Below are 23,649 nucleotides of genomic sequence, written 5' to 3' on the forward strand. Positions count from 1 at the left end.
GGTAAGATCACACAATGAGGAAATCCAGGCTGGGGAAAGAGGTTTAATATCCCGGTACACCGTGGTGAGAAGCCTGGGCAAAGCATCTGCACAGACAGGTGTGTGTGGTTGAGCCCACCAGGTCCCACTTTCTCTCATCCCAGTCCCTCCCTAAGGTGCTGCCTAGAATTCTGCACACACATTCTTACTCCCCCAAAGCACAGGGCTTTCTTCCAGATTGCTTTTTGAAGGAGGCGTTTAAACCAGAAGGGCAAAGATGCTGACACAGAGTTTGGTTTTTATTGTTATGTGTTTGGCTGGGTGCAGAACTGCCCTCACCACCCCTGGCCACCCTGGCCTCTTGGGAGGAACAGGCAGAGAGGTGGCTTCAGATGGCTCTTGGCTGCCACTCTAGGCCTCGGGGCTTATACAATGAGCAGTGGGCTCTACCTTCCAACAGGAAGTGCAAACTAATTCGAAGTCACACTTCACCAGGAGGGAGAGATGGTCTTGGCTGAAGGCACTTTAATCAGGGAGCAAACCCAGTGCCGGAGTTTGTCTTCTCGTTACTCTGATAAATCTAGACACCACTCTGTTGGAGAACCAGCACTGCCGGCAGCTGGGGTTAGTGCACTGACTGAGCGAGGCATGAGGCCTGCTCACTGGTAGAACTTCTTGTTAGGGCTGTTAGCATGGTCAGCTAGCAGCTGGCATGGGGTGAACTGTTTTCCATAGGCAGCTTCATATTTCTTGAGCCGGTCCACTATCTTCTGGGCGCCATACAGATCCACAAAGCGGAAAGGCCCTGAATAGAGAAAGAGGACTTCGTTGAAGGAGACGCAACACGGGCTCCAGGCTAAAGTGAGCTTCCTTCCCAACCTGCGAGACCAACCTCCCAGACAAGGCGGGAAGCCAAGCCCAAAGACGGCTCCGATGTCTCCCTCTGCAGGTGTGGCCAAGATCCCCTCTTGCAGGCACATGACTGCCTCATTCACAAATCTTGTCACCAGGCGGAACTGGATGTCTTCGTCTGATGAGCTGCCAACAGAAAGAGATGTTTAGGTAGAAGAAGAGGAAAAGGGGAGGAAAGCCAGAGCCGCAGATGCAGAATGGAAGTCGGGATGGGTGCATGGGGAGCTCTGTGGGCCGGTTGGTGCTGGCCCTCAGAGAAGATGCTGCCTGGGTGAACCAAACTTTCCCATGGAAAAAGTGGAGAGTAACTTGCCCTAATTAACATGAAACTGAGCACCTAGAACAGGGCCTGGTGCCGAGAAGATAATCAGTATCTCTTTGACATCAGCAACAGTCAGCTGCTCACAAATGATAATAAAGATCTGGGAGGGTGAAGGGGCCAAGGAGAATCTGTCCTTCCAGCGGCTCTCTGGGAACTTGCCAGAGAAGGCTGGAGCAGGGGAGGGCCTTCACCAGACGTGGCCTGGTTCTCACCTAGATGCTGGGCAGAGACCAAGGAGCACGTGCGAGGGCCTTCCACTTGGAAAGCACCATGCCAGCATCAGGAGTGGTCCTCCTGTTCAGGTATGGTGGTCACAAAGAAAATGGAAGACAGCACCATGGCACGTGTATACCTATGTAACAAACCTGCACATGTATCCCAGGACTTAAAGTATTAAAAAAAAAAAAAAATGGAAGAGGGGCTGGGAAGCTTTGGGCTGTCAGAGAAAGTCAATTTCCAGGCATTAGCCACTCAAACGGACTTACACTTCAGACTTAGGAGGCAGCTTCAGACTCGCTAAAATACTATCCATGTCAGAATTCAAATCCTTCCTCTTCACACCCTCCTGATAGATGTAAAAGCCCTTCCCAGATTTACGACCTAAAACAGGCAAGAAAAGGGAGTGTTACTATTTGTTCTCAGGGAGGGAGTGTTACTATTTGTTCTCAGAACCCTGGCCTGGCCAGGCGTGGTGGCTCACGCCTGTAATCCCAGCACTTTGGGAGGCCGAGGCGGAGGATCATTTGAGGTCAGGAGTTTGAGACCAGCCTGGCCAACATGGTGAAACCCCATCTCTACTAAAAATACAAAAATTAGCTGGGCGAAGCAGGAGGATCGCTTGAACCCGGGAGGTGGAGACGAGATTATGCCACTGCACTCCAGCCTGGGCAACAGTGTGAGACTCTGTCTCAAAAAAAAACAAAAAACAAACAAAAAAGACCCTGACCTGAGAATTCTTGTCTCTGTTGGTCTATTATAAAGCTCTGGCCTCTTCTGAATTCCTGAATTTGTATGTCTAGCTAACCCTAGCAAATTAGTCTTTGTCAGAAGAGTGGGCAGAGAAGGAAAGAAGATCTTGTGACCCGGAGCTTGGGCATCTGTGTACATGGATGAGAAAGGCCACCTGGGTGAGTTTTAACATCCCCATATGCAGCACCGGGTCCTAGAACACCCAGGTTGTAATGCTGATTTTGCTGTTTTGCCAAGACAGAAAGTCACTTCTCTGTGGGCCTCAACTGTATACTGTGTATGGTGAGCTTATACATTCTCCTCACAGGTGGCCAGACAGCATGGTAAAGCCCGGATGCAGAGCTTGCTTCTGCACTATTGCAGATTTCATCTCTGGGGGATAAAAATGCTTGTCCATCTGGCATAACTTGGACCAGGTGATGCTAGAGCCCCAGAAGGGTAGAACTCTGCCTTTTGTCCATAATCTATAGTCCTAGCCCTTAGAAGGTTCACATGACATCTTTTTTTTTTTTTTTTTTTGAGAAGGGGCCTCGCCATGTTGCCCAGGCTGGCCTCACACTTCTGGGCTCAAGCGATCCTCCCACCTCAGCCTCCTAAGCAGCTAAGACCATAAGTGGTTGCTACCGCACCTGACTCATAAAATCATTTTTGAAATCGCCAGTGATAAGGGCTCTGTGTTTAGAAAACTTTCTTCCACGAGGGCTTCTGTAACTCTTTGGTCTCAGGAACTGCTTAGAACTTTGTAACTAATGGTGCTAGTTATGTTTCCTTGAGGCTACTCACCTAGGAAGCCCTTGGACACCATCTGTGTCAGCAGTTCTGGGTTTCCACCTCCAAACCGCTCCCCAAAGACTTTGCCCAGATCTTCCGCCACATGTTTCGCTACATCCACACCAACTTCATCCACCAGTGTGGCGGCACCCACAGGAAAGCCAAAGCTTGTGGTCAGGGAATCCAGCTTCTTCGGGTCAACTCCTTCCTGAACAGGAAGCGATGCAGGGACCTCAGGGGAAGGGCAGCCCAAATCCCCCCAAAGGGCTCCCTGTACTGGCTCCAAACACTGCCTTGTGTAAAACCCACTTCTGAGTGTCACCTGACCAGGCCCAGGACTGGTGCTATTTCATTCAGGGAAGCACAAAGAAGTTTGGGGCCACAAGTGGAAAGTCTGAGCCTTCTCTAATCTACAGCACTTTAAGGACGTTTAGAGATGACTAAATTCTTCATTTTCTTCTTGTTTGCATTTCTGAATCTCAATAATAAGGAGATTGCATGACAGACGGCTGAGTGTGTCATGACCAACAGAAGAAACATCATCAAAGAGGAGCACTCAGAGCCCTGTGATCCCCAAGTCTGGGTAAGTGCCCAGCGAGGAGGATCCCTCTCCTTTCCTGCCAGAATGACCTCGATGGCTACTGGAGAGGTCTGTGTGCTGTGGAAACAGATGCAGCACCAGTTGAACCAAGCGGGCCCTGTTCTGGATGGTCCCTGCCTCAGAGAGGTGCAGAAACAGCATAGAAGACATGCTGGGGGGTGGGGTGCCTTTAGCTTGCTGGAACAGTGAGGAGGCTGTGGGGCAGAGGGAAAGCTCTGCCCCTTTCAGTGCAGTATAAGCCCAACTTCCGACTGCTGTGCAGAGAGAGGGCACCAGGGACCTTCCTAGACAAGAGCAGGAGTTGGTGTATCAGAAGGAAGCTTGGTCCTTATCTTGACATCATGAGTTTTAGAGTGACTGAAGGAGTGGAAGATGCCGCAAACACTCTGGAGAGCAATACCAACCTGGAGGATTCGGATGACTTCAGACATCATGGGCGCAAGACACCTGGTAGTATAGAAGCCAGGTCCATCCTGCCAAGGAAGAGAACATGAGCTCCCTGGCCCTGCTGCTGGGACTGAGTCTGAAACACTCTACCTTTCCCAGGGTCACTTCAAAGTCATTTGAAAGTCACTGTAAAACTTAAGGTGACTTAAAATCTCAATCAGAATCCTTAAAAATGAAATTGCAGGGGAAGCCGTACTAGGGGTAGCCTGGCTTGAATCAAACAGTACAGCAGATAGTTTCATGGTCACCTTCAAGGTCTGGGATGGCTGGGAGAACCCTGCCACATCCTAGATACTCCCCACTCCCACCTTGACTCAGTGGGACAGTCAATACCACCGTCCATCCTGGAGACAACCCAGGGGAAAATCATATCAAAGTCTGGTCATTTGCCCCAGAATATTTATAAACAAGCCTGGAGGTAAAAGGAGTCTTATTAGAACTTTTCAAAAACTCTGCAGCTCTGTTATACAGCCCCTTACCTTAACCACAATGATGACCTTCCCCTGCTTGAGACCAACTGCTACAGCTGAAGCACTGGTGTCTTTGGAAGTTTTCTCGGTCGTGATAATCTCCAGCAGCTGCATCTTGTCCACGGGAGAGAAGTAGTGCATGCCAATCACCTGGCAAGGGGAACCAAAAGCCAACAGATCGGAGAATGCGGGTGAGGAACCTGAGAGCATTCCTTCTCTGCTAGGAAAACACTAGAAAGAAAGGTGGCTGTGATATAGGAATACTGCTTGACATAGCTGAGTGGTTTGGTTCCATGGGTCTTTGATAAAAGTTTAGTATGTTTAGGGAGAGCACATTGGAATCCTCCTCTTCCATTTGCTTCTAAGGTTTTTCACTACAGACATCTGATCCTCCCAACAATCAGTGCCAAAACCACAGCTCGAGGCCAAACTAGATTTATTGGGGAACGACGGATGAAGGTTCCACTTATATTAATGATACTGATGGTTTAGATAAGAGGATCCAGTTTTTTTGGGCGGGGGTGGGGCAGGCAGAAGAATTAATGTGTTGGGCTGTCAGAGAAGTATTTGCATTTTACACAGATGGGTCTCACCACCAGGATACTAGGTTTAACTAACACTCCTCAACAGTCAGATGCACTTAAGACTCATTAAACCAGCAGTTCTCCAAGTGTAGTACCCGGACCCAACAAGCACTGTCATCACCTGGGAGCGTTAGGCCTGCACATTCTCAGGCCTAGCCCAGCCCTACTGAATCAGAAACTCCATGGGTGGGGCCCAGATTTGTTTTAATAATCCCTCCTGGTGATTCTGATGCGTGCTAAGGTTTCAGAGAAACCCCTCATTGAGCTAACAGTTACATAGTCTTCCCAACAGAACTGTGGTGAAAGAAGTCTAATTCATTAATTTATAGTTTTGCTTTCTCCCTCTCACTTTAGCTATAAGGTACAACAAGTGATATCTGTAATTTTTGGCTGCTCATTATCTACCTGCTCTTCAATACATTTACCACTTATTCCTTACATTTAATCCATTACAACCCTATGAACTGGTCAGCCTAATTATCTAGATGAGGAAAAAAGGTATCAAGAGGTTAGTAGTACAGAGTCAGTCAGCATATGACGGGGTGGGATTCCATCACAGGTCTGTCTATCTCCAATGCCATTATGTAATACACAGATCAAGTAAATGTTATGTAAACTTATCAATCCAAAAGTTGTTTCTAACCCCTAAAGTGTTCTTTTACTTACATCTGAAATACTTAGGACCTGATTCAGACTCAGTACTCCTGAGCAAAAGGAATTAGCCTTTATTGATGTAGAATTTCTATATAATAAAATGCACAGATCTTGAAGTGTTCACATCAATGAGTTTTGACAACTGTATATACATCCATATAATCACTAACCCAAGCAAAATATATTTACATCACTCAGAAAGTTGTGCCAAAGATGACCAACTCATCCTGGATGGCTGGGGATTTCCCAATTTGTGGCACTGAGGGTCCTGTATCCCTTGCTCCCGGGCAAACCAAGATGGTTGGTCACCCTATTTTGTCTTTTTGGCCTTACTTTTAAATGAATGACAAAAGGCAAGCAGGTGAGAAAAGCTGTCCTAGATACTTGGAGGGCAGAACTGCAAAGTGTGATGCTTGCTCTGCTCCGATGGCGGGGAGAGGTTACCATCAAATGAACAGCAACGGCATCGCCTGTACTGATTTTAGATGCCACACAGATGTCTTGAGTGATATGACATGGCCAGACTGTCCATCTGTAGACTATCGGCTGCAACTTCTCCCTATGACCTTTAGCCTGCCATCATTGAGCCTGCCTCTGTCAGGTCCCCGCATCACTTCTAATCTGCTGTGTGCTAGGAAACTAGATTACCTTGCATTAGCAAGCTAGAAGAGTAGGAATAAATAGGCTTTTGTGTTTTCAGTACATAGAATTTGTATTAACACTTTCAGCTGCTTAAAGTTCTTTTATAATTCCTGCCTACCTTCGGCTGGTTCTGGTTAGCAGAGGCTAACTGGTATCCTCCAGAGAAGTGAGTTGTTTTACTTCTCTTTGAATGATTTCACTTCCCCTTAATTACTCTGGTTGAGAGCAAAAATAAATTTCTGGGCATCATTCCAAATACTCACAGAAAGTGCTTCTATACCCAGCCCTTTCATGTCCCGGGGTAGAAGGTGTAAGCAAACCCACGGGCAGACACATCCCACCATTCCTGCCATTCCCTGATCTGGAGGTGGAACCAAACCTGTTCTAAACAGTCACTGACTCTGCTCTGTAGCCAAACTGGTATTTTGGAGCATCCTTTCTTAAGGCCTATCCTTCAATGCCTAATTCTAGGATACAGGTGGGCTTTATATCCTGAACCTGAAAAATAATGCCCATTTGGGATCCTTGAAAAGGATATTTTTTGTTGTACTTAACTTACTCCTGCATCTCACACTAGTCATGGTATTAGCATTTATTGTGTCCAGTGTTTAGGAACCACCCGCATCCACTCCGTAATCCACTGTCTCTTCTGTACTCAAGCTGTAAGCCTTTATCAGTGAATCTGAAGCAATAAAACATCTCAGGGTTTTTCTCTGTTCCGAGTTTACCTTCTCAGGTCTTTTGCTGACAGCAGCGATTTCACTGATTGGGAGAGCAGATGTGTTACTGGCAAAGATACAGTGATCTGGAATCACCTGCAGGGGAAAAGCATTTAACAATGTGTCAGGTAGGCCTGGGAGATGATTAGAGGCCACATCAAAGCTAATGAGTGACACCTGGGCCCAGCCCACTCTGTCCCCCACAACTGCTCAGACAGTAGATGTCACTCACCCAGACATTGACGGATCACCTAGGGGGTTTTGTGTCGGGGAATATGTTGACCTTGTTCCTTTTCCCATTCTGCCTTCCTCTAGTTATGGCCCATCATAAGGTCACCTTATCCTGACCTGGAGACTACATCTCAGCAGTTGGGTCAATAAAACAGCTTAGAACAACACTGAAAAGACGGCCTTGAATTGCAATTCATTGATTTCAACACCCAGCATGGGTGTCACCTCCTCTTTTGTTTGGATCTGCCCTGAATCACTCCCCGCTTCACCTTTATAAGAACAAGCCAAAATGTGCATGCTTGTCTCATTTTATACAGTGTGTTACTAAAAAACGGCATACCACTATAGTTGCAGCTACAGTACACAAATACTATTAACTATTAGCTTTATCCACCTGGAGAATAGTCTCTAATGCAGATTGTCTCCGCATTCTGGCCACGATCCCAACTTATTCATGTTTTTTTTTTGTTTTTTTTTTTTAAAGACAGAGTCTCGCTCTGTTGCCCAGGCTGGAGTGTAGTGGTGCAATCTAGGCTCGCTGCAACCTCCGCCTCCCAGTTATTCATGTTTTTATTCAGATGGTTGGATGAGAAACGTGGAAGGGACACCTGTCAAATGTGTGCAAATCTGGAACAGGCAGAATCCTAACAGAGATGAGAATCAAGGAGGAAGACACATTCAACACACTGAAAAGCTGAGTACAAAATAAGATTATAATGCAATAAAAGTAAAGTACTGCCTTAAGATTTAAAAAAAAAAGGAAAGAAAAGAACTGTATAGGTACTTGAAGGACAAGACCTGGCTTGGCAGTATTTGTGATAAAGATCCCATGATTTTAGTTAATCAAGAGTGGAGGGTGGGCATGGTGGCTAAACAACTATAATCCCAACACTTCAGGAGGCCAAGGATGGAGGATTACTTGAGGCCAGGAGTTCAAGACCAACCTCGGCATCATAGTGAGACCCTATATCTACAAAACATAACTTTTTTTTTTTTTTTGGAGACAAAGTCTTGCTTTTTCGCCCAGGCTAGAGTGCAGTGGTGCAATCTCAGCTCACCGCAAGCTTTGCCGCCTGGGTTCAAGCAATTCTCCTGCCTCAGCCTCCCGAGTAGCTGGGATTACAGGCACCTGCCACCATGCCTGGCTAATTTTTTTGTAGTTTTTAGTAAAGACAGGGTTTCATCATCTTGGCCAGGCTGGTCTTGAACTCCTGACCTCGTGATCCACCCGCCTCAGCATCCCAAAGTGCTGGGATTACAGGTGTGAGCCACAGTGCCCGGCCCTACAAAAAATAACTTTAAAAAACTAGCCAGGCATGGTGGTACATACCCATAGTCCTAGTTACTCAGGAGGCTGAAGTGAGAGGCTCGCTTGAGCCCAGGAGTTCAAGGTTACAGTGAGCTGTGATCATGCCACTGCACTCCAGCCTGGGTGACAGAGTGAGACCCTGTCTCTAACAACAAAAAAACAAAACAAAAGTGGAATGAATTGACAGTACAGCATGACTGTCAGAAAGCTTACGTAGTGTCAGGTTACTTTCTTAGTAATATAGTGTCTAATGCTGGTGGTGAAATCCTTTCTGAAGAGCAAACTAATGTCTCCAAAGCTGGCTGGCAAACATTCTTCCCTTCCTTGGACATGTATGTCTTTTCTCCCAGCTAGAAGTAGAGTCTGTTTCCCTTCTCCTTGAATCTGGGCTGGTCTTGTGACTTGTTTTTATCAACACAATGCAGCAGAAGTTACCCTGCCAGTTCCAGGCCTACCTAGACCTGTGGGGCCCGGTAGCCTCTTTTTTTATTTTTTAAATTATTTATCTTTTTTTCTTCCTGACAATAAACTTAGGAAGCTCAGTAGCTTCTGCTTTTGTTCTCTTGGAAGCCTGCAGCCACGCTACAAAGAAGTTGTGGTGAGACGACTAAGTGAGGATGGACTATGAGAGATGTGGGGGAAGCAGTGAGGTGCCCCAACCGAGCTTCCTGCGGAATGCAGCCCAGGAGTGACCCCAGCCTTGAAATCAATGGACTTAAGCACCACTGTCTCTGCAGAGCCCTGCCCAGATTGCAGAATTGTGAAAAGATAGTTGTAAACACAGCAGTAGAACACGGAGACATGAGGAAGATACTAGAGAGGACAACCGAAACGGGGTGGTCTAGAGATCATGCCTGTGGAAGATTGTCCAAGGAATGGGTTTTGTTAGCTCTATGGGCAATAAGAGAAGATAATGTTTGTTTGTTTGTTTATTTATTTATTTTGAGACGGAGTTTTGCTCTGTGGTACTCTTATTTTTTGTAATGAGCTCACTGCTCATTATATCCAGCATGTTGCCAAGTCAGAATCATTTCATGTTCACCTTTCAGTAACCCACATTCTGTTTATCCAACTGTAGACTAGCTTAGGCCTTGGTCCTACCTCATCCCTGAATTACTGCTATTACTCCTTCTCGGGGCTTACTCTTCCTACTCCCCACTTCAAGTACTTGTTTTGTTCATGTCAGCCCATCTCAAGAAGTGCCTATGGAGAACATTTGGGAGCTGGGCCAAAGCAGCATTTCCACAGAACAAGCATCTGGACGAACTGTCTTCCCTATTTCCTTTGCAGCCTTAGACCTGAAGAGGTTTGTTTTTGGCTTTCGGCTAACCAAAAAATCTCAAAGCATCTGGCTATACTCTGTGAGGTTATCTGTATGTTTGGGTGACAGAGCTCCTACATGAATAAGGTGAACGCACCCTCATTTTCTTCCTTTAGAATTTAGATTTGACCTTTATAACATATGCAGTGTGCATGAGCACACATAAAAACTTAACGTTTGATAACAAAAAGTCTTTTTTTTTTTTTTGGAGATGGAGTCTCGCTCTGTCACCCAGACTGGAGTGCAGTGGCGTGATCTCGGCTCACTGCAACCTCTGCCTCCCAGGTTCCAGTGATTCTCCTGCTTCAGCCTCCCAAATAGCTGGGACTACAGGTGTGTGCCACCATGCCCGGCTAATTTTTGTATTTTCTAGTAGAGATGGGGTTTCATCATATCGGCCAGTCTGGTCTCGAACTCCTTACCTCGTGATCCGCCCACCTCAGCCTCCCAAACTACTGGGATTATAGGCGTGAGCCACCATGCCCAGCCTTTGAATAGTCCTTTTTATAAAAGCAATCATGAGTTTCCTATAGCTCCTTTAAAAAAAAAATCTCTGTGTTTTCTGTTCACTACACTAGGATTCAAGTACAACAGCCCCTTGCTTACCGCTTCTACTTCCTTTAGCACTCTGTGCTTAAGACTAAGGTCCTCAAACACAGCTTCAATCACCATGTCGGCCTTTTCAAAACCTTGGTAATCAAGCTGCCCAGTCAAGTTGCTGAAGATGGAATCCCTTTCAAATGATGTTAGAGCTTTCTTCTTCACTTTGTCATTCAATCTAGAAAAAACACATTCCTAGTTAGATGGGAAGAAAAGGAAACTAACGTTTATTGAATGTCCATGGGCCAGAGCACACCTGTGTTTTTCACCAACTCTGTGAGGTAGTTATTCTATTACTCCCATTTTGAGGGAGACTTTCAAGTTGTTTAGTCTTAGAGGGACCTGTGGTCAAATAGCTTGATAAGGGAGGGTGCTAGCATTCAAAGACATGTTAACTCCCAAGTACACATTCTTTCTACCATAGAATGCCTCCAAATGCCCAATTTACGTAAACTAAATCACTCTTAAACCAGTTAAATTTGCCAAGAGGAGTAAATAACATGAATACTAGAATGGCAAAACAAAAGAGGAGTTCTGGTAATTCTCTACCTATGACAGGGGAAGCAGCCAAAGTGTGTCTGAGACCACATGGTTTATATTTGCTTATCGCAAATATATAATTTTATGTTATTCTGTAGTTGTAATCTTTTTTTTTTTTTATTTATTTTTTGAGACGGAGTCTCGCTCTGTTGCCCAGGCTGGAGTGCAGTGGCGTGATCTCAGCTCACTGCAACCTCTTGTCTCCTGGGTTCAAGCAATTCTCTGCCTCAGCCTCCTGAGTAGCTGGGATTACAGGCGCCCACCACCACGCCTGGCTAATTTTTTTTTTTTTTTTTTTAGTAGAGATGGGGTTTCACCATCTTGGCCAGGCTGGTCTTGAACTCCTGACCTCGTGTTCCATCCGCCTCAGCCTCCCAAAGTGTTGGGATTATAGGCGTGAGCCACCGCGCCCAGCCTGTGGTTGTAATCTTCTAAAGAACAGAGACCAAGCATTATTTCCTATATTCTCCATCTACTTCCCACTCATTACCTAGTAGCACATTGCACTGATTACATAAAATATTAACTCAAGGTTTCTTTTTTCCCATAGGGAGCAGAAAAGGATTCCTGTTATTCAGACATTCAACTGATTATTTTTCGTCGCCAAGGGAAACAGGTTCTCTTAGATTCCGTCTGACCACACTTTCAGAATAAATTACCTACAGTTTTCCTCTAAATGAAGAATGAAGCTAAACCCCATTCACTAATTTCCTTAACCAAAAGCAAAATTAAGGCCACAAGATAAATACAAAGGAGTATTCAAAGAAGGTCTTAAGGGCTGGGCATGGTGGCTCACATCTGTAATCCCAGCACTTTGGGAGGCTGCAGCAGGCGGATCACTTGAGGCCAGGAGTTCAAGACAAGCCTAACCAACATGGTGAAATCCCGTCTCTATAAGAAAAACAAAAATCAGCTGTGCATGGTGGCGCATGCCTGTAGTCTCAGCTATTCGTGAGGCTGAGGCATGAGAATCGCTTGAACCCGGGAGGCAGAGGTTGCAGTGAGCCAAGATTGCACCATTGTGCTCTAGCCTCGGTAATAGAGTGAGACTGTCTCAAAAGAAACAAAAACATCAAATAAGGTCTTAAAAGTATGGGCTCAAAGCTTTTGTTTTTGACAATCATGACAGCAGTCAGCAAACAAGATACTTGTCAGCATTCAAAACATTATCAGTTGCTCTAATTCTAATGCCTGATTAAACTATTCCCAAGAGAGGACAGGAACTATTGTCCCAAGTCAGCAGTGTGGTGAGCGGCACTCGCCAGAACCTGATGTTTCTAAGACGAAAAGGGGAACCCAGGACACTATTCAAGAGAGACTGGGGGAGGAAACTATTTTAGAGCAACAATTTCTTACTTTGGTGATGGTATGGAATGCTGTTTGGGATGCTTGCATGCTAGTTTCAGGGCACTGCTGCTATCTAGCACACATCATTTTTTTGGTCAGAATCTTCTACTACAACTTGTTATCTTACAATAATCTGCCAACACGATGAAACCTGCCAGGTCCTGGTTAGCATTATGGCAGCAATATGTGAGCTTCTCTGCAGAAAAGGGATAACAACATGCTTAAGCTATCTAATCCATTTAAGAAACAAAAAAGCTCACTCAGCTAAAAGTCACATGCAGGATGCTTTAAGTGCAGCCAGCTTGTCCATTAAATGTGAGCAGAAAACTGATCAAACCAACCCTCCATTTGGCCAAGCTGCTGCTCCACCTTCCCCTCTGCAAAACAGGCAGCATGTGTGTGATGGTGAGAGAGGCAGGTGGTGAGGAAGGGGAATAATATTCCCCCTTTATTAATTCAGAGGTAAGATGGAGATAGTCTGTAAAGCCCCAGACACTGTGGAGGGATCAGTTCATGGCTTCTCTCTGTAATGCCAGTCAGGAAATAAAAGTCTGAAGAGTCCTGATCCCGGCCCTGCCTTCCCCCTGCAGTTACTGCCCATTTCCTTACATCCTAACCTCACTCAGTCTTCTCAACAGAGACAGTCATGCTGTTTGAATAATCCTTAACAATAGAGCAATTACCTGCAAACTATATCAAAATCCGCAGGCCTGATACGAAAGTGTAAAATGGCATTAACAAGTATCTACTAGATAAGATTTTCCCTTCTGCATTCAAAGACTACAGACTCCAAGGATGTTAATTGTCTATGATATCTATAACAAAACGAAGTCAAAGAAGGAATTGGCATTTCTAAAAATCAAAAGAAACTTGGCTTCACTACGGAGTATCTAGAACTCATTATGTTCAGGAAAAAGGAATCCGTGATGGCAAGAACAAACAAACAAAAAAACCCACCAAGCCACCACAAAAAACAACTAACCAAGAAACAAAGGACATTCTAACTCTTGCAAAGAGAGAGAGCAGGCTTACCCTTTGAACACTTGTTGCTGTCCTCGGTCTAGCGCAGTGAGGGTGGCATCTTTAAGTATAGTCTTTAGCCCCTTATCCACGGAGACTTGGGCGATGCCTGCTCCCATCAGCCCTGCACCAAGAATAGCCAGATGCCTGCAAGGCAAGGATGAAATGACTTTCGGTAAACTGATCTTAATCATTTCAGTCAAAGTGGAAGATTGCCTAAGTTATTCAATAAACCAACTAATGCAGGCACAACTATAAGGTGTTTCAAATAATTTTTATTTATTAAAAACACAGCTTTAATAAATGATTGATCTTAAAAGTTAAGTGCAAAAACCCACCAGGTCTAAAAGAACTGGTCTACCCAAGAAGACAGAATTATACTAATCTTCAATCATGCTTCGAAATCACTGAAATCAAAACAACCAGTTTACATTTAAGTCAACATGAGTATTTTTGTTTTTCGAACAAAAAGACCAACCTCTTTTCTTATTGAACAACTTATTTGTTAGTGATTTTGACTATCTGCCAGTCATCTTTCTTTCTTTTTTTGAGAGACATGGTTTTGCTCCCTTACCCAGGCTGGAGTGCAGTGGTGCAATCCTAGGTTTACTGCAGCCTTGAACTCCTGGGTACAAGTGATCCTTCTGCCTCAGTCTCCTGAGTAGCTCGGACTAAAGGTGCATATCACCACTCCTGGCTAATTTTTAAGTTTTTTTGTAGATAGGGTCTCACTATGATGCCCAGGCTGGTCTCGAACTCCTGGCCTGGCCTCAAATGATCCTCCCACATCAGCCTCCCAAAGAGATGGGATTACAGGTGTGAGCCATCGTGTAATCTTTCATTTCCCCCAAAATCTGTGCCTTTATCACTCCTCGTCTGGATGAATTCAAAGTCTCCTCCATGGTCTCTTTGCTTCCAGACCTTATCCCTTCCTTAAACACTTCCACATATGCACATTGCTACCTTTTTTTGCCCCTGAATTCCTCTAGAACTTCTCAGGACGACTTGATTTACCCCAGAGTATCCTGGAATGGCTTCGTGTCCATTATTTGTCTCCTCAATTAAATTCTAAGCCTTTTGAGGACCAGAGATCATATCTGCTTATTCATTTTAGTTCCCTATAGTTCTGGAATAATTTGCCATATTCCCATAGTAAATAACTAAGAAAAATTTTTAAAGAATCTCTTCATAAAAGAAGCCCAAGTTTACAGCACTGTTATCCAAATTAGAGTTGAAATGAGGGATAAAGTTTCATTCTTAACCATTCTGATTGTAATGTTCAAAAATCATACTAAAGTCCTGAAAAGGAAATCTAACTTCAAGTCCTAGGAGCATCTTCTAAATGCAGCTTTGTAATGGTACAAATATTTATATGGTGAGTGATAAGTAATTGCAGGACAATGAGAAAATACAGTAGAGAAACAAAAAATAGGGACTGAAAAAAAAGACTGATACATTTGCTACATCAAAATTAAAAATTTCTGTTTTGGCTGGGCACAGTGGCTTACGCCTGTAATCCCAGCTCTTTCTTTGAGAGGCCAAGGCGGGCAGATCACAAGGTCAGGAGTTCAAGACCAACCTCACCAAAATACAAAAATAAAAAAATTAGCTGGGTTTGGTGGTGTGCACCTGTAATCCCAGCTACTCAAGAGGCTGAGGCAGGAAAATTGCTTCAACCTGGGAGGCGGAGGTTGCAGTGAGCTGATTGTGCCACTGCATTCCAGCCTAGGTGACAGAGTGAGACTCCATTTTTTTTAAAAAAAAAAATTCTGTTTGACAAATGAACCCACAAAATTAAGACAACCATAGAATGGGAAGAATTTGTGACATATACAGCAGACAAAGGATACTACTGGAAAAACAGAACATGCATATATCAATTTAAAAAGACAACGAAATAAAATGGGCAAGGGATATAAAGCAATTCATAAAAGAACAAAACAAATTGTCAGTAAAGATGCTCAATTTCAGCCAGGCACGGTAGCTCATGCCTGTAATCCTAACACTTTGGGAGGCCTAGGAGGGAGGATCGCTTGAGCTCAGGAGTTTGAAACCAGCCTGGGCAACACAGTGAGACCTCATCTCTATTATGAAAATAATAATAATAATAAAAAGATGTTCAATTTCCCTAATAACTGGGGCAATGCAAATTAAAATGAGATGCATCAGACTGGCAATTTTTTTTTTTTTTTTTTTAAGATGGAGTTTCACTCTTGCCGCCCAGGGTGGAGTACAACGGTGCGATCTCAGCTCATTGCAACCTCTGCCTCCCAGGTTCAAACGATCCTCCTGTCTCAGACTCCCGAGGAGCTGGGATTACAGGTGCCCACCACCACACCCAGCTAATTTTTGTATTTTTAGTAGAGATGGGGTTTCACCATGTTGGCCAGGCTGGTCTCGAACTCCTGACCTCAGGTGATCCACGCACCTCGGAATCCCAAAGTGCTGGGATTACAGGCGTAAGCCACCACACCTGGCCAAAAATTTTAAAGTATCAGTTAGGATGTACAAAAAATTAGTTCATGCATGGTTCACGGAAGTATACTTTGTCCTACTTTTGGGGGGGTTCTTTGGTTTTGTTAAAACCAAGAACTGCATACTGTATAACATAGTAATTCTACTCGTCATTATCTACTTTACAGAGATGGACTTATACACAAGATGACATGCTGTGATGAACAGCTATATAATAATGTTTGTAATGAAAAATTGTAACAGCCAGTAATTCGTCAACAGGGGATTAAAAGGAAGGAGTTACCTGATATGTACTAATCTACATCTCCAAGTCATATCACTGAGTAAAAAGTGCAAGCTACAGGATCCATACAGAAGGATTCCTTTTATGTTAAAACATACCATAAGTATAGGCCAGGCATGGTGGCACATGCCTATAATCGTAGTGCTTTGGGAGGATGAGGCAGGAGGACTGCTTGAGGCCAGAATTTTGAGATCAGCCTGGGCAACTTAGCAAGAACTCATCTCTACAAAATATTTGAAAATGAGCCGGGTGTGGTGGTATGTGCCTGTAGTCTCAGCTACTCAGGAGACAGAGGTGGGAAGACTGCTTGAGCCCAGGAGTTTAAGGTTATGGTGAGCTGTGATTATGCCATCGCACTCCAGCCGGGGTGACAGAATGAGACCCTGTCTCTAAAAAAACAAACCCACCCCTTTCCCCTAACAAAAAAAATCCCATAAACACAAAAGAGTATCTTATAATCTTATTTATGATAATTTTTTTGAAAGGAGAAAAAGAATGCATTATTTAGTAGGTTTTTTTTTTTTTTTTTGGTGGGAGGGCATTTGCTGGAATGTTAACTTTAGCTGTTAATAACAATAATAGTAAAATCTAAAACTGTGTTTAAAGCTTTTTTGGTATAACAGAATCCACAGCTAAAATATTACTCATTTCTTAACTGTTATGCTCCGCTTCATTAACACCAAAATTTTCATGATGGCTTTATAGTTGTTTAATATTTGTCTACAACAATGTAGAGTTAAATTAACACACTTCACAATCTACGGAATCCTTCTAATAAACATCTTCAGCACCCTTGAAATGACCCACTTGTGTAATTACCCAGCAGGCTAACATCTATGGTGCACGATGCTTTATAAGCCAACTGCTGGGTGACATGAACTTTTGAGGGTTGATTACACAGAAATGTTGTGATTTGAGGAATGCATAACATGGTACCTTGTCTGTATACTAATTTGTAGCTCAGTATTTTTTTTCATAAGTACTGCTCTTCACTTATTAGAACTGATGGAATGCGTTATTCATATGAAAGATTAATTTGTAAAGAGACAATAGATAAGGAATTCCAGTTATCATCCAAGGCAAGGGGGAAGGGGCCTAGAGAAATAATAGTGGAAGAATTACTGATAACTGGGAAAGCAGGAAGGGGGACACCCTATCTACAATGTTCATTATTCAATTTTCAGTTTAACATATTTTGCCTTGGGTATCTTATAGCTTATTCTTCATTTCTAAGATGATGCTAACTTTTTCTTCAATGTCTTTCCCAAGTTAGGTCAACTCCTATATTTATCCTGTTTTTCTGCCCATTTAGTTCTGAGTTTTTGAATTTTTGATTCAAGGCAGTTTTTTTTCTGATTTGCAAATGCTGATTTAAGAATATTTAAATCAAGTTCTGTTATAGTCTTCTTCTGCATTGTGGTTGTTTTTTGGGGGACAGAATTTTCATAAACTTCAGTATTCTGATTCTCATTTTCTCTTTTTTTCTTATATTAGCTTTTTGTGGGTGCTGTCTTTCTTTTTTGCATACTGACTACACAATACCACCTTTTCCAAGGGGTATTTTATTGTTACATGGAGATGTATACTACCTCCATACGACAATAAATGCTCAGGCAGGAGGAGTCTGGAGTTAATAAATTAAGACACTAGGTTTTTTAATTTAAGAGTACCCTCTTCTGTTGCAAAGTGCAGTTTCTTTAATTGACAGCATTCTTTGTGTACATGGAGGGATACGGTGGGGAGGGGTAGAAGTTGGTGTATCTAGGTTTTGTAATTTTGCAGGATGCTTCTCTGCCTTCTATTTATGCCGTGCACAGGGAATGGGTGGCTTTGTTTTCCTTATTAATCTGTTGATTTTTGTAGAATGTGTAAAGAGATACAGGTTTAAGTGGCCATAATTTTCCTCCTGCAACATGGAAGTAATTTACCCTGCTCATCGAATGCAAGGTACTATCAAGGTTAGGTGGAACAAATGCAATTGGCTCTTCAGATGGGATTGATAGCAGTCACTAAATGTTTGAGAGAAGCAGTTAAGGTTGTATTTCAGATTCTAATTGGAAATCAGCCCTCTTGGTTAGAATCTTACCTGTTTCACCCGGACTTCTTATCCATTTTATTTTGTATTTTGTATTTGTAATCTCATTAAAGGTGAGAGGATGGAGAAGGCAGTATCATTAGCTGCTTCTCTTAAATCCCCCACAGCAGTTCAGCTAGAACAGCTGAACCTCAGGACTACTGACATTTCGAACTGGATATTTCTTTATGGTGGGGACTATCTGTGCATTATAGGATGGTTAGCAGCATCCCTGGCCTCCACCCACAGATGCCAGTAGCATCCCTCCCTCCCTAGTTGTGACAACCAAAAATGTTCCCAGGCATTGTCAAATGTCCCCCTGGGAGGCAAAATTGTCCACGCTGAGAACCACAGAGCTACAAGTTGCATCATTAAACATAGACTCTGAAGAGCTATTAGGCAGCGTAATATGGAAAAAGGCTGGCTTATGGCAATACACATGAAAGAGGCAAACAGACTTTCCAATACTTAGGTTGTAAGCTAAAAGAAGGACAAGATTTTAACAATTACAATGAGGTTTTATGTTTTTTAATGAGGAAGAAGTGTGAGTTCCCAGAGATGACATCTCAAATCACAGGGAGAGAGATGATCATTGAACAGTGCAGAGGGAGTGTGTGGTTTGGGAAGGGGGACCTAAACCAGACTTCTAGGCAACATCAATATGTGACAAGAAAGCCTCTATAGGAATGACCAGAGGGGTTTGGAAAAAACTCAGAACAGGCAGAACTTTGAAAGCCAAAAAGTTTTTAGTAGACATAAGGGCTCAAATGTGCTCAGGAAAGAAGTTGAGGGCAAGACTGAATTAAGATACAGATCTAGCTCTGTAGATCTTCAAAGCCTCTGTGAACTTTGCACACAGTAAAATTCACAAGGGCTTCCTACGTAGAGTTTAACTTACTTAACATCCTTCTGTGGAGCTCCAAATTTATTCTTCTTGCACAGGACCTGACCATGGTAGAGTCCCATCAAGGCCTTTGATTCTTTGGTCATTACAAGCTCTCCAAATTTCTGAAAAGTAAAGGGGAATGAGAAAAGGTAGAACTTCACAGTCTAGGTTATATGGATTCCTTCAGTTCAGGTTCCTCTGAAGAGCAGAGGTAATGCATGTGAAGCCTGAGTCCCTGGGGATGCGGGGGAGTTTGGGGGTTCAGTGCTGCAGAAGTCTGTCTCTCACTGATGTGTCTTGTCTTTACTTGTCTTATCTGGAGCACTTTCCAACTACTGTGTTGAAGAAAGTTTTGGATATAACTAAGCTCTCAGATTCTTTACACCAGAGGTGTGGTAACCTTTTTCATAAAACTAGAGTCTCAGGGCCAAAATGAGCCTCCACAATCATCTCAAACCAACCCTCTCATTTTACAGATTGGGAAGAGGAGGTCCAAAGAAATGGAGTGACTTTGCTCAAGGCTATACTGCCTCAAAGTGGCAGAAATGGAACTTGAACCAAGACAGTATGACTCTGAACTCCAGTTCTTTTTTTTTGAGATGGAGTCTCGCACTGTCACCCAGGCTGGAGTGCAGTGGCACGATCTCGGCTCACTGCAAGCTCCGCCTCCCAGGTTCACGCCATTCTCCTGCCTCAGCCTCCTGAGTAGCTGCGCTACAGGTGCCCACCACCACGCCTGGCTAATTTTTTGTATCTGTAGTAGAGATGGGGTTTCACCGTGTTAGCCAGGATGGTCTCGATCTCCTGACCTCGTGATCTGCCCGCCTTGGCCTTCCAAAGTGCTGGGATTACAGGCGTGAGCCACCGTGCCTCGCCTCGAACTCCGGTTCTTTTTCCACTGTAGCAGGCTGCCCACGTGGGACTTACCACTTTTAAAAGTAGCTTAATTTATGGAGAAAAAGTCTCAACTTGGTGGTTAAAGGCATAATATCTAGGATTTGACAGATCCTGTCTCTGCCACTGCCCCATTGTGAAGCTTTCTTCATCCTTAAAAATGGGAAAAACAATACCCATTTTACAGTATTGTTCTGGGGGATTAAATGAGAACACTAGTAAAATGACCAGGGTCTCAAGGTTAGCTATTATTAATATCACTAGGATATAATGGTAAGATTGCATGGTTACAAAGAGCATTTCAAAAGAATCCCTCTAATAAAGTTGCTTTCATGACCCAAAAGAACATAAAATGACAACACAATCAATGCTTTACTAATCTTGATACAGGATGTTTTATCTAATAAACCAGTGATTTTCAAACATGGGCAAAAGATTCATCAATGGTCAGAAATTTAGTGGGTGCCAATAAGCATTACATATATAAAAAGCGGAATACACAGAAAATACTGAGCACAATGCACACAGGACAGTTACTGATTCGTGAAACTTATTCCTCAATTTTTCTGTACGTATGTTTATGTGCACTTGGTTATATTTTTAAAAAATCAGAAATGCCCAATGAGACATCTAGTACCAGAAGTGTTTTTCTGGTACTTGTCCTGAGCTCTTCAGATTTTTTTTTTTGTCCTTTTACAGGTTGAGCATCCCTAATCTGAAAATCCAAAATCCAAAATGCTCCAAAATCCAACTTTTTGAGTGCCAACATGATGTCATGGGCAAGATATTACACATGTTATGAGCTGCAGTCAAAACTGTTTTATGTGAAAAATTATTAAAAATAATGTATGATATTACCATCAGGCTATGTGTATAAGGTGTATATGAAATTAATTTCATGTTTAGACTCTGATCCCATTCCCAAGATCTCTCATCATATATATGCAAATATTCCACTATCTGACAAAGTCTGAAATCTGAAATGTTTCTAGTCCCAAACATTTTGGATAAGAGATATTCAACTTTATAAAAGAGCAACCATTCTTCGATGATCGTTTAAAACTTAAAAACAAACACAAATCACTTAAATCTGCAACATCACCAAGTTGCTAGAAAAGTACACAGGTAAAGCTGGTACATACATCTCTTCTGTCTTCGTCTTTTAGTGGGTACAAGATACTTCCTTTCCTTTTCCAATTTACCAAAAAATTCAATTTCATCATCTCTAGGCCTTAACATGTAAGAAAAATATTTTTCTGTCTTTGTATTCATTTTGTCTCAATAAAACCTGCCCAAGTGCGGAACAAAAAACACCCAAGTGACTTGTTTTGAAAGGATTAGAACTCTGTTCCTGCCCTTCGTAGAGACAACCTTATTACTAAAAGTAAGTTCAAACATCTGCAGACCATAGGGTTTTTTCTTTTTTTTCTTTTTTTTTGGAGACAGGGTCTCACTTTGTCACCCAGGCTGGAATGCAGTGGTGCGATCTTACTTAGCTCACTGCAGCCCTGACCTCCTGGACTCAAACAATTCTCCTGCCTCAGCCCTGCAAGTAGCTGGGACTGTGGGTGCATGCCACCATGCCTGGCTAACTTTTGTAGTTTTTGTAAAGATGGGGTTTTGCCATGTTGCACATGCTGGTCTTGAACTCCTGAGCTCAAACGATCTGCCCACCTCGGCCTCCCAGAATGTTGGGATTACAGGGGTAAACCACCACGCCTGGCCCCATTAGGGTATTCTTAGCATCCACTTGCTCACTGAGATTAATCATAAGAGATGATAAGCACTGGAAGAAAAAAATTTTTACTAGGCTTTGGATATTTTTTTCCTTTTTCAGCTTTATACAGAGGATTGGATCTTTAGTTTTCCTTTAACTGATAATAAAACATTGAAAGGAAATAAGTTTACCTGAGATTCACAGAGATAACCGGCATCACTCCCTTGCTCAATTCCAGTCTTTACCACCTAAAAAACATATAAAGCACTTGCTCAGCGTTGGAATAGATTGGCGAGATGTACAATAATGCTGAATAAAATTGCCAGTGTTGTTAGTCCTCAAAGAGTAAGTCAAAAGTCTAGACTGGAATGAGAAAGAGAAGAGGACTGAGGATCTGGCTGCTCTCGACTGACTTAATTCTCCATCTTTGAGGCTACTGCTAAATCTAGCATAACATGGCCATGAGAAGGAAAGACAAAGCTTGAATTACTCTTCCGGCTTCTCTCCTGATCTTCAAATGTAGGCAGATCCTCAACTTCCACTTTCAGCCCTTTTCACTCTCTACACTTTCTCCCTCAGATGCATGACCTAGTTTATCACATTAATGAACTCTACAAAATTCAATGTAACATTTGGGGTAAGTACTATCCTAAGTACAATGGCAAATATAAAAGATGAAAAAAATAACCCTGTACTTACTCACTATCATAATTTATGAGAATGACAAATTTTTAGAAATAAGCAAATTGACATCTCTAACTCTGACTTCTCTGTCTAAACTACTGTTGCTTGAATTTCCCAAAATATCTGAACTCAATATATCTGAACCTAACTCATAACCTCTCTTTGGCAAGCCTGTTGCTGCTTTCCTATTTTTACTATTCTATCTCAGGGCCTTATTCAAAGCTCAAGCCTGGATTATCAGGACAGTTTTGCTAATTCACTGCTCTACTTTGTCTCTCCTTCGAAACCATTTTTACCCACTACCATGAAAATGGCTCTCTAGAATCTTTATCGGACAAAGGTAAAATTTCTCAATTCATTATTACCAACCTTCTAAAATCCAGCTTCAATCTGCCTTTCTTCAGACTAACATCTCATTATCCCCCACAAATACTGGTCTCACTAATGTTCCTTGAAGAGCTTGTTTTCCAGCTTCCATAACTTTGCTCTAAATGCCCACCCTCCTTGGCAATACTTTCCCTCCTTCACCTATCCTCCACCCAGCTTTCAGGGTTGGGGTCAGATCCCATGAGGCACTTACTGATCTCTTTGTCTCATGGTAATTGTTGCCTCCTCTGTCCCACTCATCTGGCATTAATCTTATGCTGCCTTATATCTCTTAAAGGCTATCCACCTTAACACATATATATATCTAACTTCCCCAGTCCAGCCTGTGAGACGAAGGCAGGTGGGGGCATGTTTCATATTTTATGTGCTTTGGTGCCTTCTACTCAAGATATACTTGCTGACTGACCCATTCACCAATTCTGAAGTCTTTGGTTATATACTCTCTTAATCTTGGACTTTCCACACTGAAAAGTTCTAAGTTTTAAAGTCTACTGTTGGAGATTTCTTGAATCCTGTGATCATTTTAATTATTCTCATTGATCTTTTGCAGAGCTTCTCTACATCATTACATCTTTTTTATAATTACAGCAATGAAGAAGTCCTTGAGGGATTTTAGGTACTGACAATGATGTTGACCAAGAATAGAACAGAGCCATCAATTTTGTTTCAACTACTTTTTGGTTAGTGCCTGACACTCTAATGGCTTTGTGATACTGATATGACTTAGGTTCCTTTCCTGGTTTTCTGGTTTGTTACTGATACATTTAACTGCATCAATCAATGAGTAAGTCCAGCACTGATTTTCCCCAAA

General features: G+C 42.9%; 2 protein-coding genes across 2 annotated transcripts in view; one reads left to right on the forward strand and one right to left on the reverse strand.

Moving 5' to 3' along the window:
- GAREM2 (GRB2 associated regulator of MAPK1 subtype 2) overlaps window positions 1–13,693 on the forward strand; it is a 31,217-nt gene extending 17,524 nt beyond the window's left edge. The window contains exon 7 of the mRNA XM_011532567.4: window positions 11,622–13,693. Within this exon, the coding sequence (XP_011530869.1) occupies window positions 11,622–11,708 (87 nt within the window). The 3' untranslated portion in view covers window positions 11,709–13,693. The remainder of the gene's footprint in view (window positions 1–11,621) is intronic.
- Window positions 24–23,649, reverse strand: part of HADHA (hydroxyacyl-CoA dehydrogenase trifunctional multienzyme complex subunit alpha) — a 53,998-nt gene continuing 30,372 nt past the window's right edge. The window contains exons 10-20 of the mRNA NM_000182.5: window positions 21,959–22,015; window positions 19,169–19,278; window positions 13,451–13,585; window positions 10,538–10,709; window positions 7,080–7,166; window positions 4,481–4,621; window positions 3,959–4,027; window positions 2,966–3,161; window positions 1,699–1,813; window positions 872–1,017; window positions 24–784 (exon numbers count right to left, since the gene is read on the reverse strand). Coding sequence (NP_000173.2) covers window positions 639–784; window positions 872–1,017; window positions 1,699–1,813; window positions 2,966–3,161; window positions 3,959–4,027; window positions 4,481–4,621; window positions 7,080–7,166; window positions 10,538–10,709; window positions 13,451–13,585; window positions 19,169–19,278; window positions 21,959–22,015 — 1,374 coding nt within the window. The 3' untranslated portion in view covers window positions 24–638. The remainder of the gene's footprint in view (window positions 785–871; window positions 1,018–1,698; window positions 1,814–2,965; window positions 3,162–3,958; window positions 4,028–4,480; window positions 4,622–7,079; window positions 7,167–10,537; window positions 10,710–13,450; window positions 13,586–19,168; window positions 19,279–21,958; window positions 22,016–23,649) is intronic.

This window comes from Homo sapiens, chromosome 2 (assembly GCF_000001405.40).
Source record: "Homo sapiens chromosome 2, GRCh38.p14 Primary Assembly".
NCBI lineage: Eukaryota > Metazoa > Chordata > Mammalia > Primates > Hominidae > Homo > Homo sapiens.